This window comes from Homo sapiens, chromosome 3 (assembly GCF_000001405.40).
Source record: "Homo sapiens chromosome 3, GRCh38.p14 Primary Assembly".
Taxonomy (NCBI): Eukaryota; Metazoa; Chordata; class Mammalia; order Primates; family Hominidae; genus Homo; species Homo sapiens.
The window spans coordinates 841,566-853,630 of NC_000003.12; the positions used below are offsets into that span (position 1 = coordinate 841,566).

Consider the following 12,065-nt stretch of genomic DNA (forward strand, 5'->3'; position numbering starts at 1 on the left):
GAAATTGCCAAAGTGTTTTCCAATAGTGTTGTAGTATTTTTTGTCACCACCAGCAATTTTTGAGAATGCAAGTTGTTCTGTATGTTAGGCAACATAATGGCCCCCAGAGAAGTCCTAATCCCAAAAACCTATGAATTTGTTACTTTCTATGGCAAAAGGAGCTTTGAAGATGGGATTAGTTTGAGGATCTTGAGATGGGAAAGTTATTCTGGATTATCTGCTGAATCGAGTATAATCACAGGGTATTTGTAAGATGAAGACAAGAGAGTCAGCGTCAAAGAGATATAATAATGGTGGCAGACACAGAGGGGAAGGAGAGAAAGAGAAAGCAGAAGATGCTCTGCTGCTGGCTTTGAAAATGGTGGAAGAGGCCATGAACTAAGGAGTGAATGTGGCCTCCAGAAGGTAGAAAAGGCATGGGAATAGGTTATCCCTTTAGAGCCTTCAGAAGAAGCCCAGACCTCCCAACATCTTGATTTTTAGGACTTTTGACCACATAACATAATATTTAAAAGTTGTGTTGTTTTAAGCCACTAAGTTTGTGGAAATGTGTATTAGCAGTAACAGAAAACTAATATGCATCCTTGCCAACATTTGCTGTCGCCAATCTTTTTAGTTTTAGTCATTCTAGTGGGTGTGAAATGGTTTAGCATTATCATTTTAATTTGCATTTCCTTGATGACCCATGATGTTGAGCAAATTTTCATACTCTATCAGGCCATTTGTGTATCTTTTCCTGTGAAGAATTTCTTTTCAAGGCTTTGACCATCATTCTACTGAATTATTGTTTCTTCTGTTGTTGATTATCAGGAGCTTTAATATATAGTTGACACTTGAACAACATGGATCTGAACTACACAAGTCCACTTATTGGTGGATTTTCTTCAGCCTCTGCCACCCTTGAGACAACAAGACCAATACCTCCTCTTTTTCCTTCTCCTCAGCCTACTCAACTTGAAGATGGTGAGAATGAAGACCTTTATGATCATCCACTTCTACTTGTTGAATAGTAAATATATTTTTTCCTTATGGTTTTCTTAATAACACTTTCTTTTCTCTTGATTACTTTATTGCCAGAATACAGTACATAGTACATATAATAAGCAAAGTATGTATTAGTTTACTGTTTAAGTGATAGGTAAGGCTTCCACTCAACAGCAGGCAACAGCCAGGTGTTGTGACACATGCCTGTAATCCTAGCATTTTGGGAGGCCGAGGTGGAGGATCGCTTGAGCCCAGGAGTTCAAGACCAGCCTAAGTAACATAGTGAGACCCCCATCTCCACAAAAAATTAAAATACCTAATCATGGTGGTGCATGCCTGCAATCCCAGCTACTCAGGAACCTACAATAGGAGCCAAAAAGGTGGAGGTTACAATGAGCCATTATTGCACTACTGCACTGCACTCCTGCCTGGGAGACAGAGTGAGACCTTGTCTCAAAACACTACAACAAACAACAACAACAGCAACAAAAATCAGTAGGTATTAATAGTTAGGTTTTTTGGGAGTCAGAAGTTATACACAGATTTTGACTGTGCAGGGGATCAGCGCTCCTAACGCCTGCATTCTTCAAGGGTTACCTGTATTCTTGATACAAGTTCTCCTTCAGATTTAAGTATTATAGATATTTTTCCAGTCTATAGCTTACCTATTCATTTTCTTAATAATGTCTTTTGATTGATTTTTAATTTTTAACTTTGGTGAATTCCAGTTGTATACTTTTTTTATGATTAGCATTTTTGTGTCCTATGAAACTGTTGCCTTCCTCAATGTCACTAAATTCTCTTAGGTTTTCTTCTAGCAAGTTTATGTTTCAAATTTTCACCCTTAGGTCTATAATTCGTCCCAAATTTATTTTTGTCTGTAAAGCAATGTCACGATTCATTTTTTTTCTCAATATAATTACCCAGTTGTTTCAAAACTGGTTATTAAAGTTTTTCTCTTAATCATTGAATTTTCTTGGCACCAAATTATTAACTCTTGACAAAAATAATTGACCCTTAAGTAAGCAGACAGACAAGCAGTGCTTCTATTTTATAGCAATGTAAATAATACACAACTTACACAAAGACTTTTTAGAAGCTAACTAACAGTGGTCCTATCTAAGTACGTACACCAGATTTTTTATAACCACTTTTAAAATAAAAGTATTTAGATTTTAACACATAGATTAGGACAGAGAAAGCATATGGTGGAATAAACTGTATCTTTTTGGCCAGATGGTGCTATTTCTAGGTCATCTTGATAAAGAGAGGAGGCAAACATGAAAACTTAATGAAAAACTATTTATGATGCTGGAGAGAACATCTTGGCTTTGAGTCACTTTTAAATCATAGAAGAGGATTATTCCATAAAATTATTTATAATGCCTAAAATTATTCTTTGCCCAAATCATAAATTTTCAGCATTACCAAGAAGCCATTTAGTATGTATAGGGTGTTTCAGCAAGTGCAGAGATGCCCAGGTGGTTGGGATTCAATACAACGAGCTGTCACGCTGCACATTCTTGGAGTACAACCTTAATGGGCATTTTCCCACCTGTGCAATTCCTCTGTTTTCACCCCACTCCATTCATATTTCACAAACTACTCTAATTATAGTATTTATTATTGACCTCAGGAAAAAGAAGTTTGAAAGGGTGGAAAAAACATGCATTTTGTCTCCATGGATAGTAAATCACTGAGCTATTGTTCCTTGGGAATCCCAATTCATGAGAAATTACATAGACTTTTGCCCTAACACTAATCAGCTGCCTGATCTGTAAATATTTCAGATCCTTGCCTGTATCTATTTCTCCTTGCAGAAAACTGTAATTTATCTAGATTTTTCTAATAATTCACTGACATTTTACTGCTATCCAATGAGTAAATCATTGTTGCTTTTGGTATCTTATGATTTTGTTCTTTTGTGTCAAAGTTTAGCTAGTTTCATCTATCAGGTTGGAATAAAAAATGCAAATTATGACTATACCACTTATATAGTTACATGATCTACTGACCAAAGTTAATCATCACTTTAATCTTGGTAACTCATTCAGAGCCCTAATTGTAATAGCCTTTGCCTGAGTTACCTAGAGAGTGGTCTCAATAATCCCCTTTTATTTTTCATGTAGAGAAAAGGGCACACAAAATGATATTATCTCGATCACCCAGCACATGTATTAAACTATAACAGACTTTTTAAATCATGTGTGATCTTTTATTTTTTGACTGAAAGGGACTAAGTTTGCTGCCCAGAGAAGTCTTTAGGGAGCAAGGAAAGGTAAGCAAATAAACTTATCTGGAGTCAAAGGTCTCAAGGAAAATCTTGCTTTCTATAAAAGGCAGACAACGTCAAGACTCATAGATTTTCCCAGGGCTAAAAATCAGAGCCAATTGCCTCCCATCTTGAAAAGACTCATTCATCATGCTGGTTGAAGTATCACAGATCTTGTCAAAATATTCATGACTCACATACGACCCATCCAAAAGACAAAAGCCAACAAAATATTTTACCAAATTCTAAAATAGTGTTTGTTTTATTATTCTTTGTTATTCTTCAACAATTATTGTTACCTTTACTATATGAAATATAATAGCAATTCCTTGTCTTCATGGTCTTTCTGTTACAGACATGTTTTACACTGATTATACCACTTTAGTGAAATTCATCATACATATTCCTGATCCAAATTCCTTTTTTATTAACCATATATGAGAGAAAGTGGATATTAAAATAATTTTGATGGTAAAATAAGCGAAAAAATAAAGCAAGCATGGTTAAAATGATTAAATTATGGAAAAGTGACCCATGTGTTTCAGATAAACTGACGCTTGAGGGTTTTTGTTGTTATTGTGGTTTAAATTTTATTTTATTTTAATTTTAAGTTCCAGGATACAAGTGCAGGATGTGCAGGTTTCTTACATAGGTAAAGATGTGCCGAAATGGTGGTTTGCTGCACCTCTCAACCTATCACCTAGGTATTAAGCCCTACATGCGTTAGCTCCCTCCCACTGCCCCTGCAGCAGATCCCAGTGTTTGTTGTTCCCTCCCTGTGTCCATGTGTTCTCATTGTCCAGCTCCCACTTGTAAATAAGAACCTACGGTGTTTGGTTTTCTGTTCCTGTTTTAGTTTGTTGAGGATAATGACTTCCATGAAGCTTGAGTTTTCATTCTACAATTTACTGAATGACATTTGAGCAGCTAGCTGACTTTTTAATGCCTTGATTTTAATAATTCAATGAGTTATTGGGTGAGATAATTTAGAACAGCATACATGATATCGTTATTATTAGTCAATAAAATGCTATTTATCTTATTTATTACTCATAACAAAAATATGTATATGACCCTTCGCTATGTTTGAATATGTGATATATTGAATTGAATTCACTGTGAGGCTTCAGTAGGTACCTATAATATTCAAATATGTTACCTGAAAGCTGTGAAAAATATATTTTTAAAAATTAGATTTACATGCAGTCAAGTTTTCTTTTGATGACACACTCTCTTGATATATACTAAGTTTTATACTTGGAATCTTTCACTTTTATCCTTACTCAGAAACGTGAATATTAAGAATCAGTAGAGCCAGCTCTTCTACATGTTCCCTGCCAATTGCTATCTTGCCTACTTTTAAAACACCTCTAACTTGAGAAAATGAAAACCCACAAACTAACAATTGTTCCAGGGAAGTCCATGGCATCACTTGGAACTTTTCATCATTAGTCCCAGTTACACTCTTTTGTGTTGTATACAACATTGGCATATACTCTAGTCATCTGTATGCCAAGTTAAATGAGACTTCATTCAGCAACCAGTAATATGTCATGCATCAGAAGTCTCTCTCATCATATTGCTTATCACCATCAAATAGTTTCCATTTTGTCTTTATTCCTTAAAAATTGTCATGCTTAAAATTGGTGCAAATAATGTAGATACTTGTGATTCTATTATATCTACATATATTTTTCTATTTTGCAAGAGAAGTGAATTTTAATAAATTAGTTCTCTTAGATTATAATGCTACAGAAAAACTGAATGACCTGACTCGTTGGTGATTTGATTGGGACTGGATTTGTGTTCCTGCCCAAATCTCGTGTTGAAATGTAATCCCCAATGCTGGAGATGGGAACTGATGTGAGGTGATTGGATCATGGGAGTGGTTTCTAATAGTTTAACACCATCCCCGAAGTGCTGTTTCGTGATAGAGTTCTCTGAAGATCTGGTTGTTTAAAAATATGTGTACCTCCCATCTGTCTCTTCCTCCTGCTCTGGCCAGGTAAGATTTGCCTGCTTTCTCTTCACCTTCACCTTCCACTGAAGAGAGAGGTTAAAGATTAACCCCCCCACTCTAATCACATGTACTGTCTATAAATCTCAATCTATCAAGACCCTTTCACGTGGACCCCTTGGAGTTGTAAGCCCTTAAAAGGGTCTGGAGCTCTTTCTTTGGAGAGCGTCATTCTTGAGATGCAAGTCTGCTGACGCTCCCAGCCAAATAAAGCCTCTTCCTTCTTTAACATGGCATCTGAGGGGTTTTGTCTGTGGCTCATCCTGCTGCATTTCTTGGTTCCCTGACCAGGAAGTGAGGTGATTAACGGACAGTTGAGGCAGCCCCTTAGGTGACTTACACCTGCCCTGCAGAGCATCCCTGCAGTGAACTCCAGCCAGCTTGAGCGATGGGGATCCTGAGACCGCTCCTGGGTAGGTGTTTGTCCTGGTAGAACTCCTCGTCAGAGTGGTGCATGGCAGGCCCCCGCAGATGATCAATGCAATGTCTGAACACTGGGAAGGAACCATTGCTTGGAGTCCAGACATCTGGAATACAGAAGGACCGGTCCTGGGAACTTGCCCACTGCATTTGAGTGGAAGCGTGGCCTGATCACCCACTGTGTGCCCTTATGGGCACTTTGGTCTCAGTATTGATTTTGATTTGGCTTGACCTGTTTGCAAAAAGGAAAGTGAAAGTGAGTGAGTGCTTGAGTTTTAGATGTGCGAGGTGAGCGAGTGACCTCTTTACCCTTTCCTTCTTGTGGTGTGAGTGTTGTTTTGTCTCGGGAGGAAAATGGGTGTTATGCAAAGTAAGCCCACTCTGCTAGGAACTATGTTGAAAAATTTCAAGGAAGGATTTAATGGAGACTATGGAGTTACTATACACCAGGAAAACTTAGGACTTTGTGTGAAATAGACTGGCCAGCATTGGAAGTGGGTTGGGCATCAGAAGGAAACCTAGATGGGTCCCTTGTTTTTAAATGTATGGCACAAAGTAACTGGTAAGCCAAGACACCCAGACCAGTTTCCGTAAATAGACACTTGGTTACAGCTGGTTTTAGAGCCACCACAGTGGTTAAGAGGACAGGCAGCAGTAGTACTAGTGGCAAAGGGACAGACAGCCAAGGAAGAATCCTGCTCCACCAACCTAAGGGAGTCAGCTCCTAAAGTCCTGTCTGATCCAACACCAGAGGATTCATGGCAAGAAACAGCACCAGTGGCCCCCTTTCCACCAAGAAGAAAGGTCTCCCACTCCGATACCCCATCCTATACCAAAAAGCCACAAGCTCTGATGGATTTGCTCCAAACTGTTATCCAGACCCACAAACCCCACCTGGGCTGATTGCCACTAGTTGCTCATATGCCTCTTTAACACAGATGAAAGGAGGAGAGTGCTCCAAGCAGCAACGAAGTGGCTTTAGAACATGTTCCAGCTGATTACCAAAACCCCCAAGAGTATATGAGGATCCAATTACCAGGAACAGATGCCGAGTGGGACCCAAATGAAAGACAGGGTATGCAAAGGCTAAACCGGTACAGGAAAGCCCTTCTGGAAGGGTTAAAGAAGGGAGCTCAGAAGGTCACAAATGTTAACAAAGTCTCTGAGGCCATTCAAGGAAAAGATGAGAGCCCGGCACAATTCTACAAGAGACTACGTGAGGCCTATCGTATGTATACCCCCTTTGATCCCAGTAGCCTTGAAAATCAGCACATGATTAACATGGCTTTAGTTAGTCAAAGTGCAGAAGACATTAAAGAAAATTTCAAAAACAGGCTGGGTTCACGGTCATGAATACTTCACAGTTACTGGAGATAGCCAAGCAGGTGTTTGTGAATAGAGACACGGTAAGCTACAGAGAGAACTGCAGAGAGAGTGAACGCCAAGCCCGGCGAAACGCCGACCTGCTAGCCACAGCTATAAGAGGGGCCCCCCCAAAGAGACCAGAGAAGGGGGGCCCCAGGAAAAATACCCAGTCTGTCCATCCACGCTTGCAGCGTAATCAGTGTGCTTACTGTAAGGAAATAGGACGTTGGAAGGACAAGTGCCCACAGTTGAAAGGGAAACAAGGTGACTCTGAGCAGAAGGCCTCAGACAAGGATGAAGGGGCCTTGTTCAATCGGGCAGAAGGGTTACTGGACTGAGGGGGACCAGGCTCATGTGCCCCCAAAGAGCCCATTGTCAGGATGACAGTCGGGTACGAGGACATTTAGTTTCTTGTCAATATTGGTGCTGAACATTCAGTAGTAACCACCCCAGTCGCCCCCTTATCCAAAAAGACTATTGACATAATCGGAGCCACAGGGGTTTCGGCAAAGCAAACGTTCTGTTTCCCCCAGACCTGCACTGTGTGGGGCATGAAGTGATTCATCAGTTCCTGTACATGGCTGACTGCCCCTTGCCTTTGCTAGGAACGGACCTACTTAGCAAGCTGAGAGCCACCATCACTTTTACAAAGCACGGCTCTTTACCGCTAAAGCTACCTGGAACGGGAGTCATAATGGCCCTTATGGTTCCCTGGGAGGAGGAATGGAGACTCTTCTTAACTGAGCCAGGCCAAGAGATAGGAGCAACTCTGGCTAAGTGTTGGCCAAAGGTGTGGGTGGAAGACAACGCTCTAGGGTTGGCAATCAACCAGGCCCCCGTACTCATAGAAGTTAAGCCTGGGGCCCAGCCAGTCAGACAAAAACAGTACCTGGTCCCCAGAGAAGCTCTTGAAGGTATCTGGATCCATCTCGAGTGCCTGAGGGCCTTTGGAATTGTAGTCCCTTGTCAGTCTCCATGGAACAATCCCCTCCTGCCTGTTCCCAAGCCAGGGGCCATGGACTGCAGGCTGGCACAGGATTTGCGCTTGGTCAACCAAGCTACAGTGACTTTGCACCCAGTGGTACCTAACCTGTACACATTGTTGGGGTTGCTGCCAGCTGAGGACAGCTGGTTCACTTGCCTGGACCTAAAGGACATTTTCTTTAGCATCAGGCTAGCTCCTGAGAGCCAGAAACTGTTTGCCTTTCAGTGGGAGGATCCGGAGTCAGGTGTCACCACTCAGTACCTTGGACCCAGCTTCCCCAAGGGTTCAAGAACTCCCCCACCATCTTTGGGGGGGTGCTGGCTTGAGACCTCCAGAAGTTTCCCACCAGAGACCTAGGCTGCTTGCTGCTCGAGTACATCGATGACCTCCTGTTGGGACACCCCACGGCAGTCGGGTGTGCCAAGGGAACGGATACCCTACTCCAGCACCTGGAGGACTGTGGGTATAAGGTGCCCAAGAAGAAAGCTCAGATCTGCAGACAGCAGGTAAGTTACCTGGGATTTACTATCTGATAGGGGGAGCACAGCCTGGGATCAGAAAGAAAGCAGGTCATTTGCAACCTACCGGAGCCCGAGACCAGAAGGCAGGTGAGAGAATTCTTAGGAGCCATGGGGTTCTGCAGGTTATGGATCCCAAACTTTGCAGTACTGGCCAAGCCCCTGTACAGAGTCACAAAGGGGAGCGACAAGGAACCTTTCAAATGGGGGTCCCAAAAGCAATGAGCTTTTCATGAGTTAAAAGAGAAACTCATGTCAGCCCCCGCCCTGGGGCTGCCTGACCTGACAAAGCCATTTACACTATATGTGTCAGAGAGAGAGAAGACGGTGGTTGGAGTTTTGACCCAGATCATGTGGCTCTGGCCAATGCTGGTGGCCTACATCTCTAAACAACTAGATGGGGTTTCTAAAGGTTGGCCCCCATGTTTGAGGGCCTTGGCTGCAACTGCCAATGGACGGATCCAGTTATCAGATAAAAAAATAGCCATGCCACAACTGCTAGGAGCCACAGTCGTACTGGCTGTTCTTGAGGCCCCACATGCTGTGGTGACTTTAATGAATACCAAAGGACATCATTGGCTAACAAATGCTAGACTAACTAGGTACCAAAGCTTACTCTATGAAAATCCCCACATAACCATTGACGTTTGCAACACCTTGAACCCCACCACCTTACTCCTGGTATCAGAGAGCCCAGTTGAACCTAACTGTGTAGAGTTGTTGGACTCAGTTTATTCTAGCAGGCCCGACCTCCAAGACCATTCTTGGAAATCAGTAGACTGGGAGCTGTATATGAACGGGAGCAGCTTCGTCAACCCACAGGGAGAGAGATGTGCAGGATATGCAGTGGTAATGCTGGGCACTGTCATTGAAGCCAAATCATTGCCCAGGGTACTTCAGCCCAGAAGGCCAAACTCATTGCTTTAATTTGGGCCATAGAGCTAAGTGAAGATAAGACTGTAAATATTTATACTGACTCTTGGTATGCCTTCTTAACCCTGCAAGTGCATGGGGCATTGTATAAAGAAAAAGGCCTGTTGAACTCTGGGGGAAAAGACACAAAGTATCAGCAAGAGATTCTGCAATTATTAGAGGCAGTGTGAAAGCCCCAAAAGGTGGCAGTCATGTACTGCAGAGGACACCAACAATCTTTCACCTTGATTGCCTTGGGGAACTCCCGAGCTGACTCAGAGGCTTGAAAAGCAGCATCCACCCCCTACCGGGCATCAGTCACAGCACCCCCTGCTCCTTCAGGCACCTGACCTTGTACCTACTTATTCTAAAGAAGAGAAGGACTTTCTCCAGGCAGAGGGAGGGCAGGTGATAGAAGAGGGATGGATCCAGTTATCAGATAGAAGAATAGCCATGCCACAACTGCTAGGAGCTGCAGTCGTACTGGCTGTTCATGAGACCACCCACCTAGGCCAAGAGTCACTTGAAAAGTTGTTAGGCTGGTAGTTCTACAACTCACATCCGGCAGCCCTTGCCAAAACAGTGGTGTATCAGTGTGTCACCTGCTGGCAGCAGAAAGGTAGGCAAAATGCAAATGTCCCGCCCAGCATACAAGCCTGTGGAGCAGACCCCTTTGAAGATCTCCAAGTAGACTTCACCAAGATGCCCAAATGTGGAGGTAACAAGTATTTGCTAGTTCTAGTGTGTACATACTCTGGGGGTGGTGGTGGTGGTGGTGTGGAGGTCTGTCCAACACGAACTGAGAAAACTCTTGAAGTAACCTGTGTGATTCTCCGAGATCTCATCCCTAGGTTTGGACTGCCCTTACAAATAGACTCGGACAACAGGCTGGCATTTGTGGCTGACTTGGTACAGAAGACAGCAAAGGTATTGGGGATCACATGGAAACTACATACCACTTACCGACCACAGAGTTCTGGAAAAGTGGAGCAGATGAATCAGACTATCAAAAGTAATTTAGGGAAAGTGTGTCAAGAAACAGGATTAAAGTGGGTACAAGCTTTCCCTATGGTATTGTTTAAGATTAGATGTACCCCTTCTAAAAGAACAGGATATTCCCCTTATGAACTATTATATCATAGGCTCCCTCCCATACTACGGGGATTCCCAGGCACTCCTCAAGAGCTAGGTGAAATTGAGTTACAGTGACAGCTACAGGCTTTAAGGAAAATTACACAAACAATTTCAGCCTGGGTAAATGAGAGGTGCCCCATCAGCTTATTCTCCCCAGTTCACCCTTTCTCCTTAGGTGATCGGGTGTGGATCAAGGATTGGAACGTAACCCCCTTGCAGCCATTGTGGAAAGGACCCCAGACCGTCATCTTGACCACAGCCACAAAGGTAGAGGGAATCCCAGCCTGGATCCACCACAGCCATATAAAACCTACAGCACCTGAGACCTGGGAGGTAAGACCAAGCCAGGACAACCCCTGCAAAGTGATGCTGAAGAAGACAATAAGCCCTGCTCCTGTTACACCCAGAAGCTGGCTGGTCCATGCCTGGCTGAAGCATAAGGAAACTCATTGTGGGTCTCATTTTCCTTAAATTTTAGACTTGTACAGTAAGTACTTCAACTGATCTTCCTCAGACTGAGGACTGTTCCCAGTGACATCAAGTTACTGAGGTAGGGCGAAAAGTTAAAACAGTCTTTCTGTTTTATAATTATTATGAAGGTACTGGAACTCTAAAAGGGACTTGTTTGTATAATGCCACCCAGTACAAGGTATGCATGCCAGGAAGTGACCAGCCTGATGTGTGCTATAACCCATCTGAGCCCCCTATGACTACAGTTTTCCAAATAAGATTGAGGACTGGCAACTGGGGAAAAGCTGATAAGAGTAAAGTAATATCTAAAACAGAAGAGAAAGGAGTTCCCAAACAAATTATCTTAAAATTTGATGCCTGTGTGGCAATCAACAGTGACCCGTATGGAAATAGAATAAGATGCGGCTGTCTAGATTGGGAAAGTGGCTATATAGTAGAAAATAAGTATGTTTGCAATGAATTAGGACTGTATAGTGATGAACATAGTTACTGGTCCTGTGTCATTTAGGCTACCTGGAAAAAAGATAAGAAGGACCCTGTCCTCCTTCAAAAAGGAAAGAGTAACTGTTCCTGCACTAGTGGTCACTGTAACTCATTAGAACTACCTGATCACCATTGGAAAACAGGAGAGTATGTAACCCTAGGAATCAATGGAACTGGACTGGATCCCCAAGTAAATATTTAAGTGCAAAGGAAGGTCCACAGGCTCTTTCCCAAACCAGTGTTTCAGACCTTTTAATAATAATAGTGTTAGGAGCCTGCATGTTACTCCCCTGTATGTTACCCATATTTCTACCACCTTAGTTCATCAAAAGACCTCAGCACAAGTGTATTACATGAATCCCTATTGATCTGTCTCACAGGAAGACCTGGGTGGTGACTATGAAAGTGAGAACTCCCACTAGTGAGTGAGGTTCTCAAAGTGGGGGAATGAGGAGAGAGGCCATTTATCTTACTGTCTCCTGTCTCTGAAGAGAAAGAGGAAGT

At 42.6% G+C, this 12,065-nt stretch overlaps 1 long non-coding RNA gene across 1 annotated transcript in view, besides 1 other annotated feature; it reads left to right on the plus strand.

Moving 5' to 3' along the window:
• Positions 1-4,450, plus strand: part of LINC01266 (long intergenic non-protein coding RNA 1266) — a 253,911-nt gene extending 249,461 nt beyond the window's left edge. Inside the window, exon 4 of the long non-coding RNA NR_110118.1 lies at positions 811-4,450. This is a non-coding gene — a long non-coding RNA (long intergenic non-protein coding RNA 1266). The remainder of the gene's footprint in view (positions 1-810) is intronic.
• Positions 9,746-9,795: a silencer, noted in NCBI's record as "silent region_14006". NCBI's record gives its function as "represses an Ori minimal core promoter by ATAC-STARR-seq in GM12878 lymphoblastoid cells {active_cell/tissue: GM12878}" and the evidence as "EXISTENCE:reporter gene assay evidence [ECO:0000049][PMID:35858748]".